The 27,304-nt window shown below is 45.1% G+C and overlaps 1 protein-coding gene, 1 long non-coding RNA gene and 1 pseudogene across 3 annotated transcripts; 1 reads left to right on the top strand and 2 right to left on the bottom strand.

Moving 5' to 3' along the window:
- Positions 1-2,630: 2,630 nt before the first annotated feature.
- Positions 2,631-9,785, bottom strand: FAM74A7 (family with sequence similarity 74 member A7). The gene is made up of 2 exons (NR_126166.1): positions 8,998-9,785; positions 2,631-3,735 (listed from the first exon to the last, which is right to left on the bottom strand). It is a non-coding gene; the product is annotated as a family with sequence similarity 74 member A7 (long non-coding RNA).
- PTS-P1 (6-pyruvoyltetrahydropterin synthase pseudogene) lies at positions 11,915-12,600 on the top strand (annotated as a pseudogene).
- On the bottom strand, positions 18,760-24,988 carry SPATA31A6 (SPATA31 subfamily A member 6). Of its 2 annotated transcripts, none has more exons than NM_001145196.1 (4): positions 24,771-24,988; positions 23,521-23,578; positions 22,892-22,952; positions 18,760-22,636 (listed from the first exon to the last, which is right to left on the bottom strand). In NM_001145196.1, the coding sequence occupies exons 1-4, from the start codon at positions 24,957-24,959 to the stop codon at positions 18,913-18,915; spliced, it is 4,032 nt and encodes a 1,343-aa protein (NP_001138668.1). In that variant the 5' UTR covers positions 24,960-24,988; the 3' UTR covers positions 18,760-18,912. The 2 variants fall into 2 exon arrangements, with proteins under 2 accessions (NP_001138668.1, XP_011516173.1); XM_011517871.4 differs by having other exon boundaries at positions 23,521-23,615; positions 24,772-24,959.
- Between the last annotated feature and the right edge of the window lie 2,316 nt (positions 24,989-27,304).

Below are 27,304 nucleotides of genomic sequence, written 5' to 3'. Positions count from 1 at the left end.
CAATTTGTTACAGGGAACTTGAGCATTCCATGGATTATCTGAGCTGAATTTGAAGAATGTACTGTGGAGATCTTCTATGTGACATATATAAAGGATGTAGGTCAACTACTGGTTATTATTTAGAAAATACTTTAGGGAAAAAAATTATCTTCTGGGGCCAATAATTGAGTTCTATTAAACTACAGAGGTAGATAATTTTGAAATGAGAAATCAAAATATATTTTGATTTTATATTACTCATATTTTCATTTTATTCATAAAGTCTTTTGGAAAAAGACAACAGAAATTGTACTTTGTTGAGAAGACTCCTAGAGCCAAATAGTCACAGACTCAGAACACACAGAGACAAGCAAAGATGGTTCCAGCAAGCTCTAAGGACACAGACATGTGAAAGAGGCGCTGAAGACACACGAGGACTGATGCATGGTAGATGTCATTCTGATATGGCTGGGCTTCTGGACTCACTGCCTCCTCCTTCTAGAACCCAGCACCTCCAAGGCTGGGAGAAGAGAAGTTTGGGGTCTATGGGAAATGACCTCTGGAAGTGGCTGTGACTGTTTCCAAAGACAAATACAATCTAGATTCTCAAAACAATGCAAATGAACAAAAAATGTGAGTTTAGCAGTTAGTGAAACATTAAGATGAGATACAGGAGTAAACACATTTTTTTCCATAAAAGTAGTGGATGTTAAATAATGAAATACAGTGGTAAAACAATTACAGCCTGGAGGCTTTAAGATGTAAATCAAAAATGGAGACCAGTGGTGTTAATATCATATGAGAGGATTAAATATGAGCTGCTGGTCCAACTGTGTTCTGCAGGAATTCAGGCAGATGGATGAGAGACAGGCTATGAGTAAAGCATTACCACAGCTGGGGGTGTGGTGTATGGAAGCTCATCCTAGCTAGCACTTGGAGAAGAACTCACACATTGCAAACATATCCGGTTAAAAACTGGCATTTGCTGCAACTAAAAAAGGCAAGTGATGGTCTAGGTGAACTGCCTTTTCTTTCTCTCCTTCCAAAGGACAAAATTATTATTATTATTTTTTTTGAGATGGAGTCTTGCTCTGTCACCCAGACTGGAGTGTAGTGGTGTGATCTCAGCTCACTGCAAGCTCTGCCTCCCAGGTTCACACCATTCTCCTGCCTCAGCCTCCCAAGTAGCTGGGACTACAGGTGCCCACCACCACGCCTGGCTAATTTTTAGTATTTTTTAGTAGAGACGGGGTTTCGCCATGTTAGCCAGGATGGTCTCAATCTCCTGACTTCGTGATGTGCCCGCCTTGGCCTCCCAAAGTGCTGGGATTACAGGTGTGAGCCACCGCACCCGGCCCCACAAAATTAAATTCTTAATTAAGGAAACTGTTTCTTTTACATCTATTTTTTCATCCCAAACTCAAATGCCAAATATTTAGCTATTATACATGTATTCATTTTCTTAGAATACACTCTATCCAGCTTGACATTTCTTTTAAATTTTCCCATTACATAATTAGATTCTTGATCCTCATGTATGTGATGTTTCCATCATGTGCTGGGTTTTATGCTCCAAATACATGTCCTTTCATACTTTAATGGACACAAATGTGCTTTATAAATATTTTAAAATCCATTTTAAGGTAATTTATTGAGTGAAAATTCTGTGTTTGGTATTTTACTGGGGTCAGTGGTGGGGTAGGAGAAGGAAAGGACATGGCTTTTGCCCTCTAAGGAAGTTGCAGGGAAACTGTCTCTGATTTCATTATCAAAGCGAGGCCCCTTTCTATTTCTCCATTTCAATACCTTTTCTACTGACTTCAGATCTATCAGATGTTATAATTATTTCCCACTTGTGTTTGTGTAACTGTGTTCTGACTATCCACACATTAGGTGTGGGCTCTGTGAAAGCAGGGACCATATTGATCCTGTTCAATGTCATACCATATCCCTAGCATAGAACTAGTAGAGGCATAACAAAGATCTGTGAAAAAGTAAATGCATGCATAACTCAGTTGGTCAATTAATGTACATCACTTGGCAGAAGAATAAAAGGATCACGAGAGCAGATGAAAGAAGACTTTATATTTTGCAGAAGAAAATTTTCTGTGTCTTCAAATGATCACAAATCAAATTAATAAAGTTGATGAGGCTTTCTTCAAAATGGTGCTTGTAGAAAAAGTGAGAGAAAGGTAAAACAAGAGGAATAATATGGATATTTAGCATTCTGGATGTTTGCTAAGTGACAATTTAACCACAAGAATACACTTCACAGGCCGGGAGCGGTGGCTCACACCTGTAATCCCAGCACTTTGGGAAGCTGAGGCAGGTGATCACGAGGTCAGGAGATCAAGACCATCCTGGCTAACATGGTGAAACCCCATCTCTACTAAAAATACAGAAACAAAATTAGCTGGGCGTGATGGTGGGCGCCTGTAGTCCCAGCTACTCAGGAGGCTGAGGCAGGAGAATGGCGTGAACCTGGGAGCTTGCAGTGAGCTGAGATCACGCCACTGCACTCCAGCCTGGGCGACAGAGCGAGACTCCGTCTCAAAAAAAAAAAAAAAGAGTACATTTCACTCCATTGTCAAGAGAGAGAGATATATATATATATATAAAATACATATTAAATTATGTGTGTGTATATGTATATCTTTTAAGACCAATTTTATTGAGATATAATTTATAGACAGTTAAAGTCACTAATGTTGTGTATAATACAATTAGAATTTTGACAAATGTGTACATACAGTTGTATAATTGGTGCCAAAATCAAGATATAAAATATTTCCATTACCCATAAAAAGTTTCCTCAGTCCCTTTTGTGGCCAATGAATCCCCATCTTCCTGCAACCAATGGTTTTCTTTCAGAGACTATAGTTTTTTGTTTTCAAACTTTCTGTGAATAGAATATTACACTGTGTATTTGATAATTGTTTTCTTTCAATCAGCATGGTGTTTTTAAATTCATCTATGTTATGTATATTACTACTTCATCCTCTATTTTTGCTTAACAGTATTCCTTTTCTAGCTAGAAAGTAGTATCAAGATACTAAAATATATTTGTTCATCACTTGTTGATAGGCAACTATAAATAAATTTATTGCCATAAGCATGTGTATACAAGCTTTCTGTGAGCATATGTTTTCATTTTTCCTGTATAAATTTCTACAAGTGAGATTTTGGGGTCATATGGTAAATCAGTACCAAAGTATTTTCCAAAGTAATGTATTATTTTTCATTTTCATCAGCAATATGTGGGAGTTCTAGTTGTTCTACATCTTTACCAATATTTGGAATCATCAATCTTCTTAATTTTAGTCATTCTTTTTTTTTTTTTTTTTTTTTTTTTTTTTGAGATAGAGTCTCGCTTTGTCTCCCAGGCTGGAGTGCAATGGCACAATCTTGGCTCATTGCAACCTCTGCCTCTCAGGTTCAAGTGATTCTTCTGCCTCAGCCTCCCAAGTAGCTGGGATTACAGGTGCCTGCCACCATGCCTGGCTAATTTTTGTATTTTTAGTAGAGACAGGGTTTCACCATATTGGCCAGGCTGGTCTTGAACTCCTGACCTCATGATCCACCCTCCTTGGCCTTCCAAATTGCTGGGATTACAGGCATGAGCCACTGCGCCCGGCCTTGATGACGTCTCTCTTTCACTTTTGTTCCTGACAGTCCAGACTGCACAATTTCGGATGTGGGAGACTGGGTGATTTCTTTGATCTTCCCAACCAAATATGACTTACTTAAGGATTTTACCTGTAAAATACATTATTAAAGGTTAAGAGAAGGGTGACAATGGTGGCCTCCTTAGCTTAACTGAATGGTTATGGTTTTTAGTTGTAGTTGCAATCTTATGCTTGTGTGGTTCTTTGATTAGTGTTTACTTTCTCTATCCTACACTATTAGCTTCATGAGAATAGGAAAATTATTCCTCTTTGAACTCACCATTGTATTCCCAATTCTAGCACAGTGCCTGGGATTTCCTCTGTATGTGTTTTTGAAATGCACCCAATAGATCCACAGACAGATTTTAAAAATATAAACATAGAAACAAATCCTTCTGGTCTTGAAGCTTGAAACTTACATTTGTTTTCTCTGAGTTTCTTCCTCAGGAAATGGACTCTCAGCTCTCTCAAAAAGTATCAAAGAAGTGAAATTCATCAGACCACTGTGTCGAGACAATGAGATGCCAGATGCCAGATTCCTTATTTGTCATGATTGCTTCCTTAGCCCTCCCTAGTTCCTGTTTTCCTGCTCATAGTTACATTTCTTCCTTGCTATATAATCCCCTAATTTCGGCTGGTTGAGGAGATGGAATTGAGACTGATATCCCATATCCTTAGCTGTAGCATGCAATTAAAGCCTTCTTCCTTGGCAATATTCATTGTCTAAGTGATTGGCTTTCTGTGTGCAAGTAACAGAACCTAGATTGAACTCCTGGTATTTCAGTAACATTTTGTGTGTAAGAAAGAGGGTGGAGGAAGGAGAGTAGGGGAAATAGGAAGAGTGTCTTAATATTTTTGTTGCTATAACAGAATACCACAGACTGAGTGATTTATAAAGAAAATAAATGTATTTAGCTCTGAGGCCTAGGAATGCCAAGAGCATGATGCTGGCCTCTGGAGAAGGCCTTCTTGCTGCCTAACAACATGGCAGGGGGCATCACATAGTGAGAGAGCAAGAGCAAAAGGGCTTATGATAAGGAACCCACTACTATGCTAGTGACATTAATCCATTCATGAGGGCAGGACTGACATAAATCTATTCATGAGAGAAGAGGGATTAAGTTTCCAATCTACGAACTTTTGGAGGATACATTCAAACCATAGCAGAAAGACAGACAGAGATAGATATGTAAAGAGGGAACAAGCACACATCACACATACAAAAACTGGACAATATTTTTATAAATGAAATGCCTAGAGCCTCTCTCGTATATTGTATTTGTTGTTATTTTCTCAATTTAAACTTATCACTCCATAATTTCTCTTTTTCTTCCAAATGAAAATTTCTTCTCATTTCTCCAAAATGATGTACATGTTTCTTCCTTATAGCCATAAAACACAGTAATTGTTTCCTGGAAAATTTTAAATGTCTCACTACAATTCAAGTATCATACTTACTATATGTTTTTTATCTTCTGTGTATTTTGAAAATGTAAGAGCATTATTGTCTTATACAAAATAGGTGCTAGCAGAGTGAAGAGACAACCAAAAATAACTCAATAAGAAATGGACAAATGATCCAAATAGACATTTTTCAAAAGAAGACATACAGGCCAACAGGCATATAAAAAATGCTCAATATTACTAATCATTAGAGAAAGGCAAATTAAAAACACTTTGAGATATCACCCCATACGTGTTAGGATGGTTATTATAAAACGACAAAATATAACAAGTGTTGGAGAAGATTTGAAGGAAAGGCATCATGGAAAATAGCATGGAGGTTCCTTCAAAAATTAAAAATGAACTACCATATGAACCAGCAATCCCACTACTGGGTATATATCCAAAGGAAATGAAATCCGTATGTCGAAGAGATATCTGCAACACCATATACATTAAATCTTATTTATATATTAGCCCAAGATGTGGAAACAATGTAAGTGTCCATCAATGGATGAATGAATTTTAAAAAGTAGTATATATACACAATGAAATACTATTCAGCCATAAAAAATAATGAAATCTTGTTATTTGTGACAACATGGATGAACCTGGAGGACATTATGTTAAATGAAACAAGCCAGGCACAGAAAGACCATATGATTTCACTTTTATGTCGAATCTGAAAAAGCTAAACTCATAGAAGTAGAGAGTAGACTGGTGGTTACCAGGAGCTGGACTTGGGGTGGGGAGTGGGGATGTTTATCAAAGGATTCAAAATTTCATTTAGGAGAGGGGAAATATTCAAGAAGAGATCTACCGCACAACATGGTCACTATAGTTAATAACAACATATTGTATTTTTGAAAAAAAATGCAAAGAAACAAAGTAAGTATTAAATAAAAACTGGTTCTTTGAAGCTTTGGCACTGTAATATATGAAGGCCAGAAGCCACATTTATATAGTTCCGTTTCTTGAGCATCCAAGACAATGGATGAGATGACAGTGTTGAGGAAGACAGGTCACCCACTGTGAACACTAGATTCAGCTTCTCCCCCTGCTGTTTGACTCATTCTGCAGAAGGTGAGAATTTATCTGAAGGAGTTTACATATTTTTATGTGACAATGTATTCCTGAGAAGATACCAAATTCTTTCTTCTACATCAAAAATACAGCATGAAACTGACAAGAGAGCATATAAATGATGATTTTTTTTAAGTTTCCAGGAATATCACATGTATCATATTACTGAAAAGAAAAAGAGCATTTTATGCCGTGAAAAACTTTGGATATCCTTGAATAATGTTGACTAAAAACAGTGAGTTTATTTAGTATTCATCGTGTCTATATTTGGAGTGTATATTTTTAGTATTTGTCATCTTGCTTATCAAACTCCTGAATCTCACTTAAAAAGTATTTTCCAAAGTTTTTGAAATTTCTCCAACAAAAGAAGAAAAAACAAAAAAGCAAGTATTGGAAGTCAAATAGGTTTGAGAAATATTATGACACATGTCCTTCTTGCACATCATAAAGCCTCTAACACTTTTCATAGTAAACCAATAAATGAAACTCAGACTTCTTGCTTTGCTTAATCAAAAAATTAAAGTTTTCCAAACTTCTTTGACTACAGAATCTTTTGACAACACAATATTGATCATTGCACACTTTGAGAGATATTACTCTACAAAAGTCACTGCACAGCACCACTAAAATATGGTGACCGATAAAACGGACAAAGGTCATTCAGTGAAAGTTTCAAAGCAAAGAGAATGAATGAATATATATATATATGGATGTTTACTTTTTGGATTACAGTTTTCAGATTATGTTTGTTTTAAATAAGCCAGTCTGCTTTCATAATAATTATATTTTAAGCCATTTTCTGATGAGACATTTGTCATCATGAGAACAATGTAGTAAAAGTTTGTTACACTGGGGATTAAGATATTAGAGTTTCCATTCAAGATTCCCTAATACTGGAAGAGGTTCACTTAAATTCCATGATTCTATGAGAGGAGTCAAATCTGAGGTGCAGGCTCTGCACCTTCCCAGGCCTGCAGGGGCTTTGCACCTTCTTGCGGAACAGTTGCCAGCTGTTATCGCTTCACACTTAGGTCACTGCCTTCACTCAAGTCTTTTTTTTTTTTTTTTTTTTTTAGGCAGAATTTCGCTCTTGTTGTCCAGGCTTGAGTGCAGTGGTGCAGTCTCGGCTCACTGCAACCTTCACTTCCCGGGTTCAAGCAATTCTCCCATCTCAGCCACCTGAGTAGCTGGGATTACAGGCACCCGCCACCAAGCCCAGCTCATTCTTTTTGTATTTTTAGTAGAGATGGGGTTTCATCATGTTGGCCAGGCTGGTCTTGAACTCCTGACCTTGGGTTATGCACCCACCTTGGCCTCCTAAAGTGTAGGGATTACAGGCGTGAGCCACCATGCCCGGCCCCAAGTCAAGTCTTTTTCACAGCCTTGGTTCACCATAAAACTAAGGTGGACAATTGTCATGGACAGAATTGTGTTGCCTCAAATTTATGTTGAAGTCCTCACCTCTAGTACCTCAGAATGGGGCTGTATTTGGAAAGAGGACCTATAAAGAGGTAATTGAGGTAAAATTAGGTTATATGGGTGGGCCCTAATCAGTAAGACTGATTTCCTTGTAAGACAAGGAGATGTGGACAGAGACCACACACAGACCACGGGACAATCATGTGAGGACACAGTAAGAAGGTGGCCATTGGCAAGGGAAGGAGAGAGGCCTCAGAAGAGACCAAATGTGCTGATTCCTTGATCTTGGACTTCCAGTCTCCAAAACTGTGAGAAAAGAAATTTTTTATGGCTGCATAGTATTCCATGGTGTATATGTGCCACATTTTCTTAAAAATGATGAGTTCATGTCCTTTGTAGGGACATGGATGAAATTGGAAATCATCATTCTCAGTAAACTATCGCAAGAACAAAAAACCAAACACCTCATATTCTCACTCATAGGTGGGAATTGAACAATGAGAACACATGGACACAGGAAGGGGAACATCACACTCTGGGGACTGTTGTGGGGTGGGGGGAGGGGGGAGGGATAGCATTGGGAGATATACCTAATGCTAGATGACGAGTTAGTGGGTGCAGCACACCAGCATGGCACAGGTATACATATGTAACTAACCTGCACATTGTGCACATGTACCCTAAAACTTAAAGTATAATAATAATAAATAAAGAAAGAAAGAAAGAAAAAAAGAAATTTATGTTACTTAAGCCACTCAGTCTGTGGTATTTTGTTATGGCAGCCCTAGTAAACTAATACAAATATTTTTAGGGACAACAAACCATGGACTTTGTTATTCTAGTAAGATGACTTTAGCACTATTACCTACTTCTACCTTGAAGTGGTAAAAAAAGGCAGTGAGAAGCATTTCCATGGAATGTATAAATCGTGTCCCGTGAAACAGAATTAGCTAATAAGGTTAACACCTGTCAGCTGTATATGATGCTGCGTCTCCAATCTCCATCCGGACAGCAAAGGGGAAGGCATGGACAGGAGACCTGCCTTCAGAAGAGCACCTGACAAAGGGGCCCACAGCCTGGGGACGGTGACGGCAGTAGCCCCCCGAGGCCTGGGATCCCACAGCACAATTGTGAAGGGAAAGTCTTACTTGCTGGGCCCAGATGTGTAATTTTCTCCCACCACTGGTTTTTTGTGAAAAATTCTTCTGAATACGTAATTTTGCCCCTAAATAAACATGGTGTTGGACATTTTTCTGACTAGGAAGTTAGGATATTTGCTTTTCTAGCATCTTTATTAGATGACTTTTTATGTTTGCAAAGTCACTCAGAAAAAACTTCATCCTCCCAACACCTCCCTGGACCACAGTCCCCACAAATGACATTGAACTCACAACATAAAGGAACTCACCACTAGGTAAATAGGTGCTTGACTGTGATTTAACACCTGAATTACTAAAATTGATTGCAATAATTATCCAAAGAAAAACAGCCAAGTGCAACAGTAACGACAGCCTCTGAACTCTCTCCACATCTTCTTGTGGACAGCCTTTGAGCTCTCTCCATGTCTTCTCTGGGACAGCCTCTGAACTCTCTGCACGTCTTCTTGCAGACAGCCTCTGAGCTGTTTCCATGTCTTCTCCGGGACAGTCTCTGAGTCTCTGAGCTCTTTCCACGTCTTCTCCAGGACAGCCTCTGAACTCTCTCCACGTCTTCTCTGGGACAGCCTCTGAGCTCTCTCTTGTTTGGGACATCCTCTGAGCTCTCCACGTCTTCTCTGGGACAGCCTCTGAGCTCTTTCCACGTCTTCTCCGGGACAGCCTCTGAACTGTCTCCACGTCTCCTCCAGGACAGCCTCTGAGCTCCCTCCACATCTTCTCTGGGTCTCCTGTGGAGTCTGATCACCTTTCAGTTAAGGCATCTCCTGTGAGCAACCCAGTTGGCTACTCTGAGTTCTGGGGGTAGCTGTCCTTGGTTTCTCTGAATTGCCCAGAAACCAACCTTTCTGTTGCCCATCGTAGTGCCTACGTGGCTTAGCTGGAGCCCTACCCTGCTTTTGTTGCCCAACCAATGCCTATGTGACAGGGCTAAATTCCCATTCAGCTTTAACTGCTTAGTTTTAGAAAACAGGATGTCTGGGGTCAGAAGTTCCTTCTTAGGACTAAACTGGCTGAAGCTGGCAAAATCCGCAATGGCAGCTTGACCTCTGAAAAACCTCTAGCTTCATTATGATCCAATTTCCATGCTAAATGACACTCCCACTGGCACCTTGACAGTTGACAATCACCATGACAATGGCCAGAAGAGACCAAAAACAGGCAGAAAAGAGGTGGCTCTTTGATTCCAAAAAAACCTACCTCCCTTCCCAAGAAAAGCTATGAATATTTCTCCCTTTCCTCTGTATACCCAGCCCCTTCATTAAGAATCCTCAGTTCTCAGGCTCTGAGAAGTTGATTTGCAGGCTATGCTCCCACTTCTGCAATTCCATGGCCATTGAAAAAAGCCCACACTGTTTGATACTCACTCTCGGTTTGGTGTATTGGCTTCACACCAAACAAGAAAGAGCTCCTTTAGGGGTAGTCAGGACCCTGATTATATTCCCACATAGAAACTGTTCCCACTCACTACTGGCACAGCAGAACACATAAACTGTCAGATGGCTCCATTTCAATGATTTGACTTGTAATTCTCAATTGTTTCTGTTCCTAAGATTTTAGGACTTTCTATCAACTCATAAAAAAAATTTTAAAAAGGTAAGGCAACCTTCAAATCTAAGATGCTCAGCTTTAAACTAGTAAGTTCTTAAGGATGTTTTTTTTCCTCCAAGGAAACAATTCTCCTCTTTGCTGAGCAATAATACAGGTTTTAATATTAAATAAGTACACAAAGTAAAAGAAACAGACAAAAATGTCTTCATAGCAAGGCTGTTAACAGATTTCTTTCTTTTTTTTTATTTTTGAGATGGGGTCTCACTCTGTTGCCCAGGCGGGAGTGCAGTGGCACAATCTCAGCTCACTGCAACCTCTGCCTCCTCAGTTCAAGTGATTCTCCTGCCCCAGCCTCCCAAGTTGCTGGGATCACAGGTGCCTGCCATCACGCCCGGCTAATTTTTTTGTATTTTTAGTAGAGACGGGGTTTTGCCATGTTGGCCAGGCTGGTCTCAAACTGCTGACCTCAGGTGATCCACCCACCTTGGCCTCCCAAAGTGCTGGGATTACAGGCATGAGCCACCGTGCCTGGCCAGATTTCTAATATATGTAAAGAAAAAAGAAAAATTTTCAAATACTTGTTTAGATAAGTACTGATATTTAAAAAAACAACCAAGCCTAAATCCCTAGATTTACAATTTTTAAAAAATAAGAAAAGCAATGTAATTCACAGAATAAAATCTTTTGGAGTAAAGTAATATAACTCTAACAAATTGGTAAATCTAGGCAAGAAATGACTTGCCCAAGTAACAGACCTAGTAGGTGGAGAGCTCATCTGACTCCAGAAACCACACTCTACAAAATAAACTTATTGACGTGAAGTATGTATATAATCTGTAACTGGTGTGAAACTGTGGCAGAAATACAAAGAGCCGTGGTCTTGCTCATGATGTTCAAAGGCAATATTTGAACTGAGGGATGGCTGTGTGAATTGAAGTGGTCACTGGAGAAACGTGGTTGAGATTGTGAACCATGGGGAACAGGGGGTGGTAATTCTGGATTTTTGGCATAGAGGAGAAAGAAAGAACTGCAAACATCATTACAGTGAAGGAGGGTGAGGCCCTCCGAAAACTGATTGCGTTTCACCAGAAACACTGATCCAGTGGGGGCAGCTGAAGCACGAAAATGATTAGAACCAGAGTGATGTCACCCACGTTTCTTTCTTTTTCTTCTTTTTTTTTTGAGACAGAGTCTCGCAGTCTCGCTCTGTCTCCCAGGCTGGAGTGCAGTGGCGCCATCTCGGCTCACTGCAAGCTCCGCCTCCTGGGGTCACGTCATTCTCCTGCCTCAGGCTCCCGAGTAGCTGGGACCACAGGTGCCCCCACCATGTCCTGCTAATTTTTTTGTATTTTTAGTGGAGAGGGGGTTTCACCGTGTTAGCCAGGATGGTCTCGATCCCCTGATCTCGTGATCTGTCCGCCTCGACCTCCCAAGGTGCTGAGATTACAGGCGTGAGCCACCGTGCCTGGCCGATGTCACCCACGTTTCTTAGGAAAGACGTTAGCATCCTCTAAATCCTCACCGACTGTGCCTGGCGCAGCATTATTTTGCAGTTTTCTGGGATTTACAGTTGGCATCATTTGCACAGCGGCAGCGTGACGTGGCTGTGGAGAGCACGGAAGATCTGTCCCCACGGAAGTGGGCTCTTCTGGTTGCAACATGGTGGAGGCCAGCCCGGCCTCAGGTGAGGGAAGATGCCACAGCAAACCTCTGAGCAACCAAGATGACAAGCACCTGCTTGGAAAAGGTGACAAGCCACAAGGCCATAGGCCCAGTTATAAGGATGAATTGTGTTACACGAATGGTTATAAACCTGACCGACCTCAGAAGGTATATGGAGGAGGCAATTATCAAGCCCCTTGATGGTCTGTGGCTGGATGCACCATACTTTGCCAACAGTGTGAGCATGGCAGAGAATGTAGGTGTGTATATAGGGGAAAACCTCCAGAAAGTTTTTTCTGTGGGAGTTCTTTGTAAAATAATAACAATGCAACTGGAATTATATTGCAATCTATAAAGGGAAATCACTCTTAGGGATCAACATTGTAGAAAGACAACTTGTTTTTTGCTTCTTTGCTCAGTGTTAAGAAGTCATCACATCATTGTCACCCTCCCCACATTCTGTTCTGTAGTGCCCGATTTGTTGAAAGCAGTATGAGGCCTGTTTTAAACATAAATCTATTCTAAATCTAAATTTGTAATACATTCTGAATGTCATTTAGACAGTCTTTTGCCTGGAGATTAAAAATTACTTTATTTCTAGCAAAGTGCTCTGAAGTAAAATATTTTAACAACAAAGAAGATCTGTGTTTGTTGTTTTCTCCATTATCTAATTATTGATATCCATTTCATCTGGGCACATATAAATGGTAAAAATATTTACAAGCTTTGAATTAGGTGAATCTAATTAAAAATAAAATATAGATGTTAATAGAGCCTGGAAATATTGTCAATATCTTTTTAATAGATTGAGCCCCGTTGATTATTTCTTCTGGGATAAAGGCTCAAATTTATTCTGTGAAATTAGACACTCAAATCATCTGAGGCAATATATGGCAGATGAATATACACTGATTGATGGAAATGTTGCTTTAATGCACATTGTTCATTGCAATTTTGCGTAGGTTACTGAACTATGAATTACTATTGAGGAACAGCACATTCAACGTGTCATAGCAATCAACTATTTAGTATGGACATTTTCTATGTTTCTAGATTTTCTGGCCACTCTGAGCAAATTTAAATCAAATGACTGAAGTATAATCACTTATTTTAACTCTGTTAAAACAGTCAACTTGAAAAGTATATTTTTCTGTATGAATTTTTTTTCTAATTGACTCTATTTTGTTCTGATAACTAAACTTATTTAAGTTGCGCTGTTGAAAAAAACTATAGGCCAAGCGCGGTGGCCCATGCCTGTAATCCCAGCACTTTGGGAGGCCGAGGAGGGTGGATCACGTGGTCAAGAGATCCAGACCATCCGGGCTAACACAGTGAAACCCTCTCTCTACTAAAAAAAAAAATACAAAAAAATTAGCCAGTCATGGTTGCTGGCGCCTGTAGTCCCAGCTATTCAGGAGGCTGAGGCAGGAGAACGGTGTGAACCCAGGAGGCTGAGCTTGCAGTGAGCCAAGATCACACCACTGCACTCCAGCCTGGGTGACAGAGCAAGACTCTGTCTCAAAAAAAAAAAAAAAAACAACAAAAACAAAACTATATATATATATGTATATGTATAATCTGAAGATCCATGTCGATTCCATTATTTTACAATGCAGTGACATTATAAGGAAGTGGAAAAATTAAGTCAAAATTTTTTAATTATGATGAATATAGAAAGGGGATTTCTTGTTGAAACAAATAGGCTAAAAGAGCCTTGATGTCAGCTATGCCTCTCTTAGAGAAAAGACTGTGACCCTGTCATCCCGTTGGATAATCTAGTGATGCGCTTTAACAGCTATTGTTAAAATAGATTTTACCAAGGCAAGGACAACAGTTTGCTTATGAGCAATGAGAAGTAAGTAGTCTTACCAGAGTGCACCCTTTGGAAAGTGCTGCATATATAATTAGTGAGGCCATTCATAATTCATTTTTATTATACAAATGCTGATTAAATGTATACCTTCTTCCACTCAAATGTTAACGTGTCCCTTCCTCAATATATTTTATTAGGCTATGTATATATCTCAAGCATAGATTAATTTGTTTTGTAAGATTTCAAAACATTCCTTTTTTAGCCCTGTAATGAATATAAAATGGATCCCTACTGCCCATCTTAGAGAATGCGTGTTTCATAGAACTGTTTAAAAAATAAATCCTTTTAAATTGCCCATCTGCTTAAGCTATGTTTGTGGAACATTAGGACTAAGTCATGTCTGACAAACATGTGTCATACTACTATTTGAGAGCATTACTGCATTTTCAGGAATAAAATAATATTATTAAGAAGTATAATTTTTCCAAGTGATACAATAAGAATATTGCTAGAGATTTGACCTATTTGTGAAAAATCTTTGCATGATTATTAGCTTCCTAAAAATAAAATGAACTCTGCAAATGTGATCCAAGCTGTTCTGTATGAAATTATGTGCTAGTTGCACAGTCCCCTGGGAGACCAGTGTGAGTCCAGATGCCTCTTTGCTGGTTTGTTTCATTTCTGGGGTTCATTTTCTAGAGGTTTTTATCATATTTTCAAAGTACAGAAGTCAGGCATCTCAAATTCAAGTCTTGTCTCCCCCAAACTTTAAAAAATATATGACATTGATATAATTTGGCTGGATAATAACAAACTGAACAAATAAGATATTTTCTTTCATTGAAGGTTGGTAACATTTTCCTCACTTAAAAATTTTTGGTTGGGCACAGTGGCTCATGCCTATAATCTCAGCACTTTGGGAGGCCGAGGCGGGTGGATCACCTGAGGTCAGGAGTTCGAGTCCAGCTGGCCAACATGGTGAAACCCTGTCTCTACTAAAAATACAAAAATTAGCCGAGCATGGTAGTGCACACCTATAATCCCAGCTACTCAGGAGGCTGAAGCAGGAGAATCTCTTGAACTCCAGAGGCAGAGGTTGCAGTGAGCCAAGATTATCCCACTGGACTCCAGCCTGGGTGACAGAGCAAGACTCCATCTCAAAAAATAATTTAAAAAAATGAATTTTCTAAATTGTGGGTCAGAATTCAAGCTAATGGAAACCTGTGGAAGAAGGAATTTTGCAGGTCTGCCTGTGGAATCCATAATTCTTTTCAGAGGCAGCGATATTACAAAAAAAAAAAAAAAAGTGTGAGGATGTCCCCAAGCAGAAAACCGCCTTCACTGCAATGCTGACAGTATCTGGGTGTCCCAGGGTTCCTGGGGAGTGCAACTGTTATCCCGGCTGTGCTGCTACTGTGCTGAGTGGTTTTATATCCACTGAGAAGGACGTGTCAACAGGTGGCTGCTCAGGCCCCTAAAGAATGGATGGATGTGAGGTCTCTGTGAAGCCTCTGGGCCAGATCTCTGAGGAGTATCTGTAAGGGGCATCTCACCTATGGTGAGGATGCTGTGTGAGCGCTGCATGGGAGGCCTCAGTGCCAGGCTCCTGGTGAGAACTCTGAGTGAGGTCTCTGTGGAGCCTCAGTGTGAGGTTTCTGCGTGAGTTCTGTGTGGAAAGTCTCTAAGAAATCCGAGTCAGTTTCTGTACGAGGCCTGTGAGGCCACATGAGGTCTCTGTGGGAGGACTCCATGGGGCAGCAAGAGGGCTCCATTGCCTCTTGTGAGGCCTCTGTATGAGGCCTTTGCAGAAGGTCTGTGTGGGAGGTATCTTCCAGAGGTCTCTGTGGGGTCTCTGTGGGAAGTCCCTGTGTGAAATCTCCGTGCTAGGTCTCTGTGTGAGGGACCATGGACTATATGAAGTCCCTGTGTGAGGACCCTGTGTGAGGACCCTGTGAAAGCCCTACAGAATCTCTGTGTGGAATGTTTGAGGGAATTCTATGTGAGAGGTTTCTGGGCAATGAGTGTGGAGCAACCTGAGGCCTGTGTGAGGAATCTATACAAGGTCTCTGTGGAGAGTGGGAGGTCTCCAGGCAAGGTCTCTGTGTGAGGAGGACTCTGAGAGAGGTCTCTGTGAGGCAGTGGGGGGTGCCATGTGCCATTTCTGGGGCTGGAGGCCAGAGGTTGCAGTGAACTGCATGAGTCTCTGCATGAGGTCCCTGTTTTATGACTCTGTGTGAAGTCTCTGAGGTCTTTGTGGGGTCTCTGTGTGAGATCTCCCTGTGAGAACCATGGAAGGTCTCTGACATTTGTGGGAGATCTCTGTGGGACTGAGTGAAGTCTCTCAGCGTGGCCTCTGTGGGGTTCTCTGGGTGAGGACTCTGGGAATCTCTGTGCTAGGTCTCTGTGGGGCACCATGAGGACTCTGAGAGCTCCGTGGGGTCTCTGTGGAGGCTGCAGTGTGTCTCTTTCTGTGGCAGTGAGAGGTCCCAGTGTTCTCACTCTGTACGAGATATCTCTGTGAGGTTCCTGTGGGAGGTCTCCGTGGGTCTCTCTATTGTTGGCCTCACTGCATGTCATGGGAGACTGAGCTGCAGAAGGGCTAAGGGGTTGTTGCTTCCTGTGTTCTTTCTGGTCTCTCAGCATTGCCTGTGGCGCTTCTCCTGGTCTGAGCCATGGGCTCCAAGTCCAGCTCCTCCACATCCCAGAACTCACGTCTTGGTTTCCTGAGGGAACCCAGCAGCAGCCAGGCATGGCCCATCCTCAGTGGTCAGGGTCCCAGCTCTGTGCCACACTCTCCTGAGCTCCTGGAGGACCGGGGCTGCTCTCTGCTCCAGGTCCCAGCTCCTCCTGCTGATCCTGGCTCCGCTGTCACCGCTGGGCCCACCTTGGAGGCTGCTTCAGTTATCCAGGCCTCAGAGAGGACCTGGCCCCAGGAGAAGCCACAGGCTGGGGACTGTGCCCACTGCCCCCTGCACCCCGGTGCCGGCCAGTCCCACATGTTGGGGGCAGGGCCATTTCCATTGTCATCTAGATCAGTGGCACTGCCTGGCACTGGCCTCTCCACCATTGAAATGAGGCCCCCGGAAGTGGGCCTCTTGCACGCCTGTATGTGGCACAAGGCAGAGAAAACTCCCTCTAGAGACCTGGCTCCTCCTGTCCATGATTTGTGGAGACCTCCTGCTTTCCCATATGGACAGGGCCCAGAGAGGAGGAAAGCTGTGCTGAAAGCAGAGGGAGACAGCAGGGACGGCTCCTGTCCTGCCCATACCCTGCCCATTCTGGACAGGTCACTTCCAGCTCCCTTGTATGTTCAAATCCTGCCTGCCTGCATCTTCCCTTGCTGGTCTCTGGGGCAAGCAAGGATGTCAGGAGCCAGGGAAGATTTGCTGTGTGACCCCAGCTCAGCTGCTGGGCCCTAGTAAGTCACCACCTTTCCCCAGGGAGCAGTCCTGGGGCTACGTGTATATTAAAGGTCACCAGACTTCGACTCATGCCTGGGGTTCTCTAGTCCTTGCTTTTCCACCTGTTGTCAACACATCCTTTAAAAAATTCAATAAGTAGGCCAGGCACCATGGCTCATGCCTGTAATCCTAGCTCTTTGGGAGGCTGAGGCCCGTAGATCACCTGAGGCAAGGAGTTCGAGGCCAGCCTGGCCAACATAGCAAAACTCCATCTCTACTAAAAATATAAAAATTAGTCGGGCATGGTGGTGGGTGCCTATCATCTCAGCCACTTGGGAGGCTGAGGCAGAAGAATCGCTTGAACCCAGGGGCCAGAGTTTGCAGTGAGCCAAGATTGTACTACTTCACTCCAGCCTGGGCAAAACAGTGAAACTCTGTCTCAAAAAAAAAAAAAAAGTTCAATAGATTATTATGTGCAAGCTTATCGAAGATGTTAAGAAATTCATCTTCCTTATTCACTTCGCCTTCTCACTAATATGGCCCTCTGTGTTGGGGGTAAATGTGGTTTTTCTAGGGGTCTGTGATCTGGGAGCTGGAGCAGAGACAGACCCTGGGGTGTGGCCAGGATGAGACACTAGGCCCCTCTAGGCCTATCTAAGGGGTTGGAATGTCAGAGTCTCCTGGCTCACGGCACCACTGATGGCTCCCTCACACACGCCACTTTGCCTCCTTTTCAATTCTCTGTCTGCATCCCCTGTAGCTCTACAGAGTCCCACCATCAGAAGCCTCTGCACACACAGGCATACCCTACTCCATTCACCCAGAACTACTTCACTGAAGCTGAGAGACATGTAGGTGAGATAGACAAAGGCCGGTGACCCAGGAGCAGGGTCATTCACTCATCTGGGGCAGGGGAGTTCACGGCCCTCAGCAACCTCCATAAAGGCTGCCCCCCTGACCCCCTAGCCCCCACCTACACATGCACAGAGCTGGAAGGTCTGTCCCCACTGCCACTCCAGAGTGCGAGAAAGGGAGAGGCAGTGGGATGGGGACTCTCTGCTTCGCATGTTGGCTGAGCTAAGAGGGCCCATCTCCATCCCAGCCTTTGTCAGGGAGAGAAGGGGCTTCCCAGGGGCAGACGTTATCTATTCTCCACCAGGATACCCAGGGTCAAGACTTCTCCCACTTCTGAACTCAGGGCCCAGCACTCTCCCACCCAAACTTCCACTATTTTTTGACACATGAAGGTACTCGGCTGTGGCACTTCCTGGAGCCTGCATGGAGATGTTCAGTCCCGTGACATCTCTGCAAACCTTCTCCCTACAGCTGCATGAAGTTTGAGGTAGAGTAAGTAGTGGAAAGATGGGTTGAACCTTATTTCAGAGTGGGACCTTCATAGGTTTTTCTCATCTTGTTTTTAGAATTTTTTGTTGTTTGTGTAAAGACGATATTACGGAAACATAAGGTTCAGTGAAGGAACTCAGGATGAAGGTGGGCTTACAGCACCACTGTCAACATCCCTCCATGTCCTGTCGCATCTGGAAACCAAGCCCACACCAAGCATGGCACAAATAGAAGCCATCACCCTCTTATAAATAAAAAACCATATATATTGTGGAATATTAAATGTTCTGCATTTACTAACATGAGAGAAAATATTTTTTCTCTACATAGAGTGAATTTTTTCTTGGGGACTTGTTTTTCTCCAGGGAAGGCTAAAAAAGAATTTGTGACTGACCAAATCAGATACCTTCCCAAAGAAGACAGTGCCTTGGACAGTGGTGATGGTGGCTAGAGGCACCGGATGTCTTCGGCCAGTGCTGAGGGGGACTGACTGGGGATACAGCTTTCTTGGGGTGCAAGATTTGGGGATGTCGCAGGCCCCATTGCTCATTGTTGCACCGCACACTTTTCAAGGGCTGTTGATTTCTGATTTGCCTGTCTCTGTTGGGACAACCCTGGCTCTTGAGAGTGGCTTGTTGACTGCTGGCTGCATAGCTCAGTATTCTGCCATGTTCTGAGTAGAAGAGGTGCCTGTGGTTGCAGGGAAACCCACAGACTGGGGCTTGAAACTTCTGTTTGTGCTGATTTACCTTCGAGGCATGGTGCGCATGGCAAAGTGACATTTTCTTGTCCAGCATTTGTCCAACTGCCGTCATGAGACCCTGAGCTTCAGCACTGCTGCTGTACACACATGATCTGTTTTTTACTGTTTTTTGGCTCTCAGCAGTGACTGGTGCTGGCTTGCTTTTTTTCTTTGAAAAAATCCACTGAAAAAATTGCTTGATGTTTTCTCCAAAGTGGCTTACTGAAGGAGGCTGTTTCTTTGATGGCAGTAGCTGGACGCCTTCATCCTGATGGGTGTCTTCTGTTTTCCTGACTGGGGTAAGTTGAGGAGTCCTCAATCCTTCAAGCCTTTCTTCATGTTTTTCTAAGTTGGGCTTCCTAGACTTCTCACTCTTGTGAATAGGGGGAAACATTGGCCTTTGGCTCTTGCATGAGCCTTGACAGTTTGGGTTTCTGGGCTCCTCTTGCACCAGTTTGCTCCTTCTGGCTGCCATGAGGTCATGTAGCTCCTGGGAAGCCCGCATGTTCCCAGTAGGCATGCTCTGGAGATGGCCCTGGGGCACTTGAGAAACCAAATTCTCTGAAGCGTGGGGCACAACAGATGCTTGCCCATCTGGAAGGAGCACAACAGCGGCACAAACTTGAGGCTGGGTCTCTGACTTTGTGGCCATTCCAGGCTCAAATTCACTAACAACCTCCTCCATAAGACACAGCTTTCTTGGATCTTGGGAGACAGACACTCTAGGGTGTAGAGAGCTTTTGCTGGTCCCTGGAGCCTCGAAACCATGCACATCCTCACTTGTGGCTTGGAGGTTTGCCAGCATACAGGTTTCCAAGGGGACTCTGCATTGTGGCACTGCCTCCCTTGTCTCTCCAGCCTTTGAAGATTGGGCTCCTAAGCTCCTGCTCTGCTGGGTGCTGCCTGTGAGGCTGTACGTGAGGGGCTTAGATGGCCACCTGCCCTCCTGTCCAGCTGGAGGAGGCTTCAAGGGCCCATGATCATTCCAAGATGGGATTCCTCGCGGTGCCCTCTGGAACTGCTTCCATGCAGGTGAGGAGGCCAGAAGACTCTCTGGCATGTGATCAGATGCTTTGGTCAGCACCTGCTTTCTCAGACTTGCCATTGGTGGCTTTCTAAGGAACATGTCCACCTCAACTTCTGAGCCAGCCCCAGATTCACAGGTGGCTGAGGAGGGACCAGCAAGCTGCGTAAGGGACAAGGATGAAACCTTTTCCAGTTTAAAGCACTGAATGGGCTTGAGGACCCTGAGGGGTAGACCCCACCTGTGTTTGGCCCAAAACCTCACAATATGGGCTCCCAACCCCTGCTGAGTACACGGCTCGAGGAAGGAAAGCACCTGGGCTGTGTTCACACAGGCTTTCCCACTTTTCGGGGCTGCTAGATTGCTGGTTTTCACATGGGTGTTGGACACGGGAAGAGCCTGGTTGACAGCAAGCCAGGATCGACGCACACGCACGGGGATCAAGCCCTCGTTGGTCTGGCCCAAGTTCCTGCCCATGTGGGCTTTCAGGATGTTTTCTATATGAGTCCTCTCTGTGCATCTTAATAAATCACTTCCCGAGTCACTCCTCAAGGGCTTCCTCAAGTTCCTTTCCGACTCCTCAGAAGTCACCCCCAGAACCTTCCGTGGGAAGCTTTTCATGTCCCTGGATAGATTTTGTGGGGTCTCACCCAGAATTTGCCCCAGATGTGGGCACAGGTCCCTCTCTAGCTGGAACTTCACCTTCTGTGCCTCCTTGCTGCTTTCACCTGTGGACGTGGAGGACTGCCAGGGACTGGGTTTGCCCTTGGCCTGACTTGTCCCTGGTGATTCGTCCCGAAGCTGCATCAGATCCAGAGACTCTTGGATCCTTCCCAGGTTGCCCCAGTGTTGGATGATCCACTTTTTTATGTGTTGCTCCAGTTGTCTCCGGAGTTCAGGACTGACTGGAAAGTTCTCAGGCAGAATGGATGTCAAACTTTCCTGGGGAAGGTTAGGAGTGGAGACACTAAAGACGTCCTGAGATTTTTGGACCCTAGAGGGTAAAGCCAACCTACCTTCTAGTTGTTTCCTCAACAAAGGCCATTCAGGGTGCTGAGTTTCAGGTAGGGAGAGAGCTTGCACTTTATTCTGCGATGCAGGGCAAGCTACTCCAGTGTTCTTAATCAGGGATGGAAAAGCAGGAGATAGGACTGGGAAAGAAGACTGAAGATGGGCCTGAGCCTCGGCCTGAGCCATAGGTGTGGGCAGGAATTGGGGTGTGGATGAAATAAAGGGTTGGCGGTGGGACAGGGGCTGGGCCTGGAAAAGCAGTGGGGACATTGTAGTCTCCCTTTGAATTGGGCAGACATTGGACATTTCATTGAACAAGAAAGGAGGAGACTGTAAAGTATAAGACCTGTCAGTTACCCAGGCGTTAGCCACCAGGGACTCGCTGTGCAGAGAGGGGAGGCCCCAGAAAAGCTGGCTATAATTCTTCCAAAAACTTTCCTGCAAGAGCCTAGGATCTGAGCACTTCTGAGGTCCGGGCAGCTGTTTCGAGTTCTCTCCCATGTTCCAGAAGGGTTTTGGGTTTGTGGTGTCCTGCTCAGCATCCAATGATTTAGCCAAATTCCCCAAAGAATTTAAGTGCTTTTCTGGGGTCATTTGATTTGTAAATGATCCAACATTTTCTTTTTCTTCCCAAATGTTGACCTTGGCTGTTTCTGTGACTTGTATCCCCACGACATTCTGGCCATCAGAGCTGAGCAAAAACAGGCTACCAGCTTCCATCTGACAGGTCTCTGGTGGGTGGCGGGAAAGAGGATCTTGCTGGACTGATGAGTTAAAGGCGCACGAGGTTCTGGCAGTCTCCTGCCACCGGGAGGAGGCAGAAACATGACTGTTTGAGCCACCAAGGCCTGAGATGGCTGGGACAGAAGCCACCAAATCCTCATGTGGAGACAAGCTTTGAGGGACGGTGCCCAGTGGAAGTGCCACTGAGTCACAGTGAGATGGAGTTATCAGTGTGGAGTCCCGCAGGGGAGGAGCAGTGAAGCCTTTTGGAGGAGGCGGAGAGCAGGCCAGAGGATCAGGGGTGTGTGGTGGGTGAGGGAAAAGTGCAGGTGGCTCGGGTGAGGGGTGTTCTAGGGGAAGGGAAGGTTCTGGTGGCTGGGAGGCACTTAGGGAGGAGACTGAGGTGGTCATTGGGCCTGGTGATGGGGTGGAGGCCAGATCCTGAGGATGCTTGGCTTGAGGATCCGGGGAAGCTAACGGGGAGAGAATGGGAGCAGCATCTTCCATAGGCTCATGAGAGGACTGGGAGGCTCCATCAGGTGCTCTTTCGCCCACCTCACCTGGGGGGTCTGGACCGGAGAGCTGACCAAAGTCACCTTTGTCAAGGTGTGGCCCCAGGAGGCTGCAGGAGACAGGAGGCACGAGCTGCAGCCAGGAGCCGGTGGGGCCGGAGGGCAGAGTGGGTGCTCGGGCCACAGCCCCTCCACCATCCCACACCCTGATTGCCCAATTCTCCTGCTACCCCTCGCCCCAGGGTTTTACTCCCATCCTCTGTCCCCCTGGTCTCCCCATCCCAGGTCAGCTCCAGGCTGCCTGTGGCCCTTGGGTCATGTCCCAGCCCTGGTAGGAAGGATGCAGGGAAGGGGAAGTGCCTCACCTCTGCAGTTGTGAAAGAAGGTCCGAAGTCTCCTCCAGGCCTCTCGGGCACTCTCTACCAGCTGGAAATCAGGAGACTGGGTTAGGGCAGTGAGGGAGGGGCCTGGGATCTCACAGGAGGCTGAGTGGCTGTTTCTTTAGGGAGGACCATGGGGAATTAGACCCTGGACCCCACCCATCTGTGTCCAAAGCCACATGACCCCGACGTTAATAGCAAGGCATGGAGGACAGGGCTTTTTCATTCACAACAGGCTTCCACACACGGACCCCCCACCCCCACAGTCCTCACAACTGCCCTGTGGGGAGAAAGGACTGAGGTGGTCTCAAAGAGGAATCAGCCTTAGCAGAGTTGGACAGCTGTTCCCAGGGAGCGGGAGGCCCCCTCACCCCCCTCCGCATCCAGGCAGGCATTGGTCTCCCCAGGACACACACACTGCCCCCTGCTGGGTAACGCCCAGTCCCTGGCCCACCATGGCTTCATTCCCGCATGGAATCTGAGAAGGACCCGGGGTTCTGATTTCCTTCCTAGGAGCCCCCACCTCAGGCTTCTTCAACTGACTTCTTCAGAGTCAGTTCCCTCCGGGACAGATGAGATCAAATTAACTCTAGTGTGCTCTGGCAGAGCCTTACCTCTCAGACTGTGGTTTTTCATCCTGCCTCTGGGCCTCCGCCTCCGCCCTACTGGACACTGGGAGACATGATGACGTACGGAGACAAGATGACGCGGAGAGACAAGATGACAATGGGAGACAAGAAAGGGCGAGAAGCTAGGACTGGCTCTCCCTCTCTGCTCCAGCCCAGCCGCAGCATGCTGCACTCAGGAACCGCATGACTCTCTCTGTCTTGCTCAGGGAGCTCTGTGTGCTTCCTCCCACTCATGTTTAACTGGATGATAAACTGCTTTTCTTCTTAGAAAAACAGCAAGAGGGGGCTGGGCGTGGTGGCTCACGCCTATAATCCAAGCACTTTGGGAGGCCAAGGTGGGTTGATCACCTGAGGTCAGGAGTTTGAGACCAGCCTGGCCATGGTGAAACCCCGTCTCTACTAAAAATACAAAAATTAGGCAGGCATGGTGGTGGGCGCCTGTAATCCCCAGCTATTCAGGACGCTAAGACAGGAGAATCGCTTGAACTCGGGAAGCAGAGGTTGCAGTGAGCCTATATCACTCCATTTCACTGCAACCTGCGTCACAGAGCGAGACTCCATCTCAAAAAATAAAATAAAATAAAATAAAATAAAATAAAATAAAATAACACACAAATAAAATAAAAATAACACACACACACACACACACACACACACACACACACACACACAGAGGGATTTTCAATATGAGGTCCACCACGGACACCTTCAGTCCCTGTTCCTCTGCTCCAGGAACACCCAAGTTCAGGCCCGCAGGCACTGCTGAGCTATCAGGTAGGATTCTGCTTCCCAGAAGACCAGAGGAGACACCAGGCCCTGGTGGGAGGCCCTCGGGGGCCCAGCACAGGCCCCAGATCACCCCACACAGGGGAGGCTGGGCCCTGAGCCACCTGCCCCAGAAAGGGGCTGATGAGCCAGGGCTCAGGGCCTGGTCTCGGACAGAGACCTCCCCAGTCTCATGACTGGTACTGGTGCTGAGTCCACTGGTTTGATTTTGCCTTGATGCCTCCTGTGCTCCCCCACAGATGGACTGAGATCTTGGGATGGAAATCCCAGTACACTATCTACCCCTACCAACCCCTGGCTGCCCTGCCTCTCCCTGGAAGGATGATGTTCTGGTCTCTTCTGAGACTTCCCATCATAGAAGGCTCTCCACTGGATTTGGAAAAGTGGAACTAATAATAAAAAGAAAGGAGAGAATCAAGCTCTGTGGGTCGGGACTGAGGGTTCCTTACCTTTCTCTTCCCAGGCGATGGTGAGGGTGGGTCATCACAATGGAAGTAAGATAAGTAGGGGAGTAATAGGAAGAAGAACCCCAGGGCAAACACCAAGGTGAGGAAGATATCCAACACCCATGGTGTGGAGCTGGGGGCGTTTAGCGATGAGGCACTAAGTAATTTTAAAGGAAAGGGAAGATTCTCCATGTGAATAGGCACGTTGCTTTCAAGCAACTGAGCTCTGGGCATCCCCGTGGAGACTAGGGACTGGGGCCCAGGCCTGCGTCACAGAGGTGGGGCCTTGATGTCACAAAGGGCTCCTTTGTTGGGGAGGGGCAGTGGGAGGGGGAGGGGCAGAGGGAGGGGGAGGTGCAGCAGGAGGGGGAGGGGGAGGGAGAGGGGCAGGGGAGGGGGAGACTGGAGCACAGCCCCTCCCCACCCCCAAAGCTGGGGATCCCTCCACCATCCCACCTTCTAGATCCCTCCTTCCCACTAAGTTTTGTCAGTGATAGCCAATTTTCTATTCTTTCTCCCTGGAATATAGATATTACCTGGTTCCTTTTATCTGTTGGAGACGGTGGCTTGAGGTTACCTATTTTATAGCCCTTGAAAATCTGAAGTTCTGAAATTTTGGCTATGAACCAGGGATTTTCATTCTCAGAATCTCGTTCATCCTCAACTCCAGCTTTCCCACACTATGTTTTTGTCTTGTATCAATCCAGGGACAAAATGTAAATTTCTTTTACTCTTATTTAGTTTTGCAAATTTTGAATAGTAAGTTTTAAAAAATTATTTCTATCTCACTTTCAATCAAAGGGAACTACCCACATACAATTAAGATTTTTTTTTGTCTTTTAAAGTTTTATTTATGTACTTATGTATTTATTTTATTTTAACTTTCAGGATACATGTGCAGGACATGCAGTTTTCTTACATAGGCAAATATGTACCATGGTGATTTGCTGCACCTATCAACCCATCACTTAGGTATTAAACCCAGCATGCATTAGCTATTTTTCCTGATGCTCTCCCTACCACCAGCCCTCCCTCGACAGGTGCCAGAGTGTGTTGTTCCCCTCCCAGTGTCCATATGTTCTCATTGTTCGGCTCCCACTTGTAAGTGAGAACATGTGGTATTTGGTTTTCTGTTCCTGTGTTAGTTTGCTGAGGATAATGGCTTCCAGCTTCATCCATGTCCCCGCAAAGGACTTGATCTCATTCCTTTTTATGGCTGCATAGTATTCCATGGTGTATATGTACCACATTTTATTTATCCAGTCTATCATTGGTGGGCATTGGGTTGATTCCATGTCTTTGCTATTGGGAACAGTGCTGCAATAAACATACACGTGCATGTATCTTTGTAATAGAATGATTTATATTCCTTTGGATATACAATAATGGTATATCTGCCACAGCCTCTGTACTGCACTGTGGGGAATTCTGCCCAGTGCAAACCACCCAGTCTCCCTAGCACTGGCGGGGGAAAACCACCGGCTAGACCCGCAGTAATGGCGGTCACCCTTCCCCCCAGGAACTTGGTCTTCTTAGGCAGACTCCAGGTGCTGTGCTGGCCAGTGGGGATTCCATGCTAGTGGGTCTTAGCTTGTGGGGTTCTGTGGGAGTGGGTCTGCTTGGCTCCCTGGCTTCAGCCCCCTTCTCATGGGAGTTGATGGATCTCCTGCTTCACTGGATTTCTGCGAGCCACCAGAGTATGCAGAAACTCCTACAGCTCAGTACCTGCCCAAGTGGCTGCCAGCTGGAGCCCCTGCTATGGGTCTGCACAGCTTTGTGCTTGGGACCCAAGGCCCTGGTGGTGTGGACTCACAAAGGGATTACCTGTTCTGGGGTTTGCAAAAATCTGTGGGTAAAGCACAGTTCCCTGGGTGGGTAGCACAATCCCTCACTGCCTCCCTTGGCTGGAGGAGGGAGGTCTCTTTGCCCTGTGTAGCTCTTGGGTGAACTGTCACCCAACTCTGCTTTTCCTTGCTCTCCATGGGTCACACCAACTGCCTAGTCAGTCCCAATGAGGGAATCTGGATACCTCAGTTAGAAATGCAGAATTCACTCGCTGTTTATGTTTGTCTCAGTGGGGGCTGCAGAGTAGAGCTGTTTCTACTCAACCATCTTGGCCCCTCCCCCCAATTAAAATAATTCATATTTAAAATTTGTAATTCTAATTATGAAACAGTTATAAGTAGTTAAACCTTCAAGTGGTATTTCTGTAAATGTATAGCATTTACAGTTCTGGACTTGGTAATGCTTAAAGTGCACGATAACTTATGGGACTGCTACATAGGCATACCTCAGAGATACTGTGGGTTTGGTTTCAGGCCACTGTGGAGATGAGCTCTTTAGGGCAGTGCCCAATGGAAGTGCCATTGAGCCACATTGAGACGGAGTCAGAATGCAGTCCAGCAGTGGGGGAGCAATGAAGGCTTTTGGAGGAGGTGGAGGGCAAGCCAGACAATGGGGGTGGGTATGATGGGTGAGGGGAAAATGCAGGTGGCTTGGGTGAAGGGCGTTCTAGGGGAAGGGAAGATTCTGGTGGC

This window comes from Homo sapiens, chromosome 9 (genome assembly GCF_000001405.40).
Source record: "Homo sapiens chromosome 9, GRCh38.p14 Primary Assembly".
NCBI classification, from domain to species: domain Eukaryota; kingdom Metazoa; phylum Chordata; class Mammalia; order Primates; family Hominidae; genus Homo; species Homo sapiens.
This window is presented reverse-complemented; position numbering and strand designations above follow the sequence as displayed.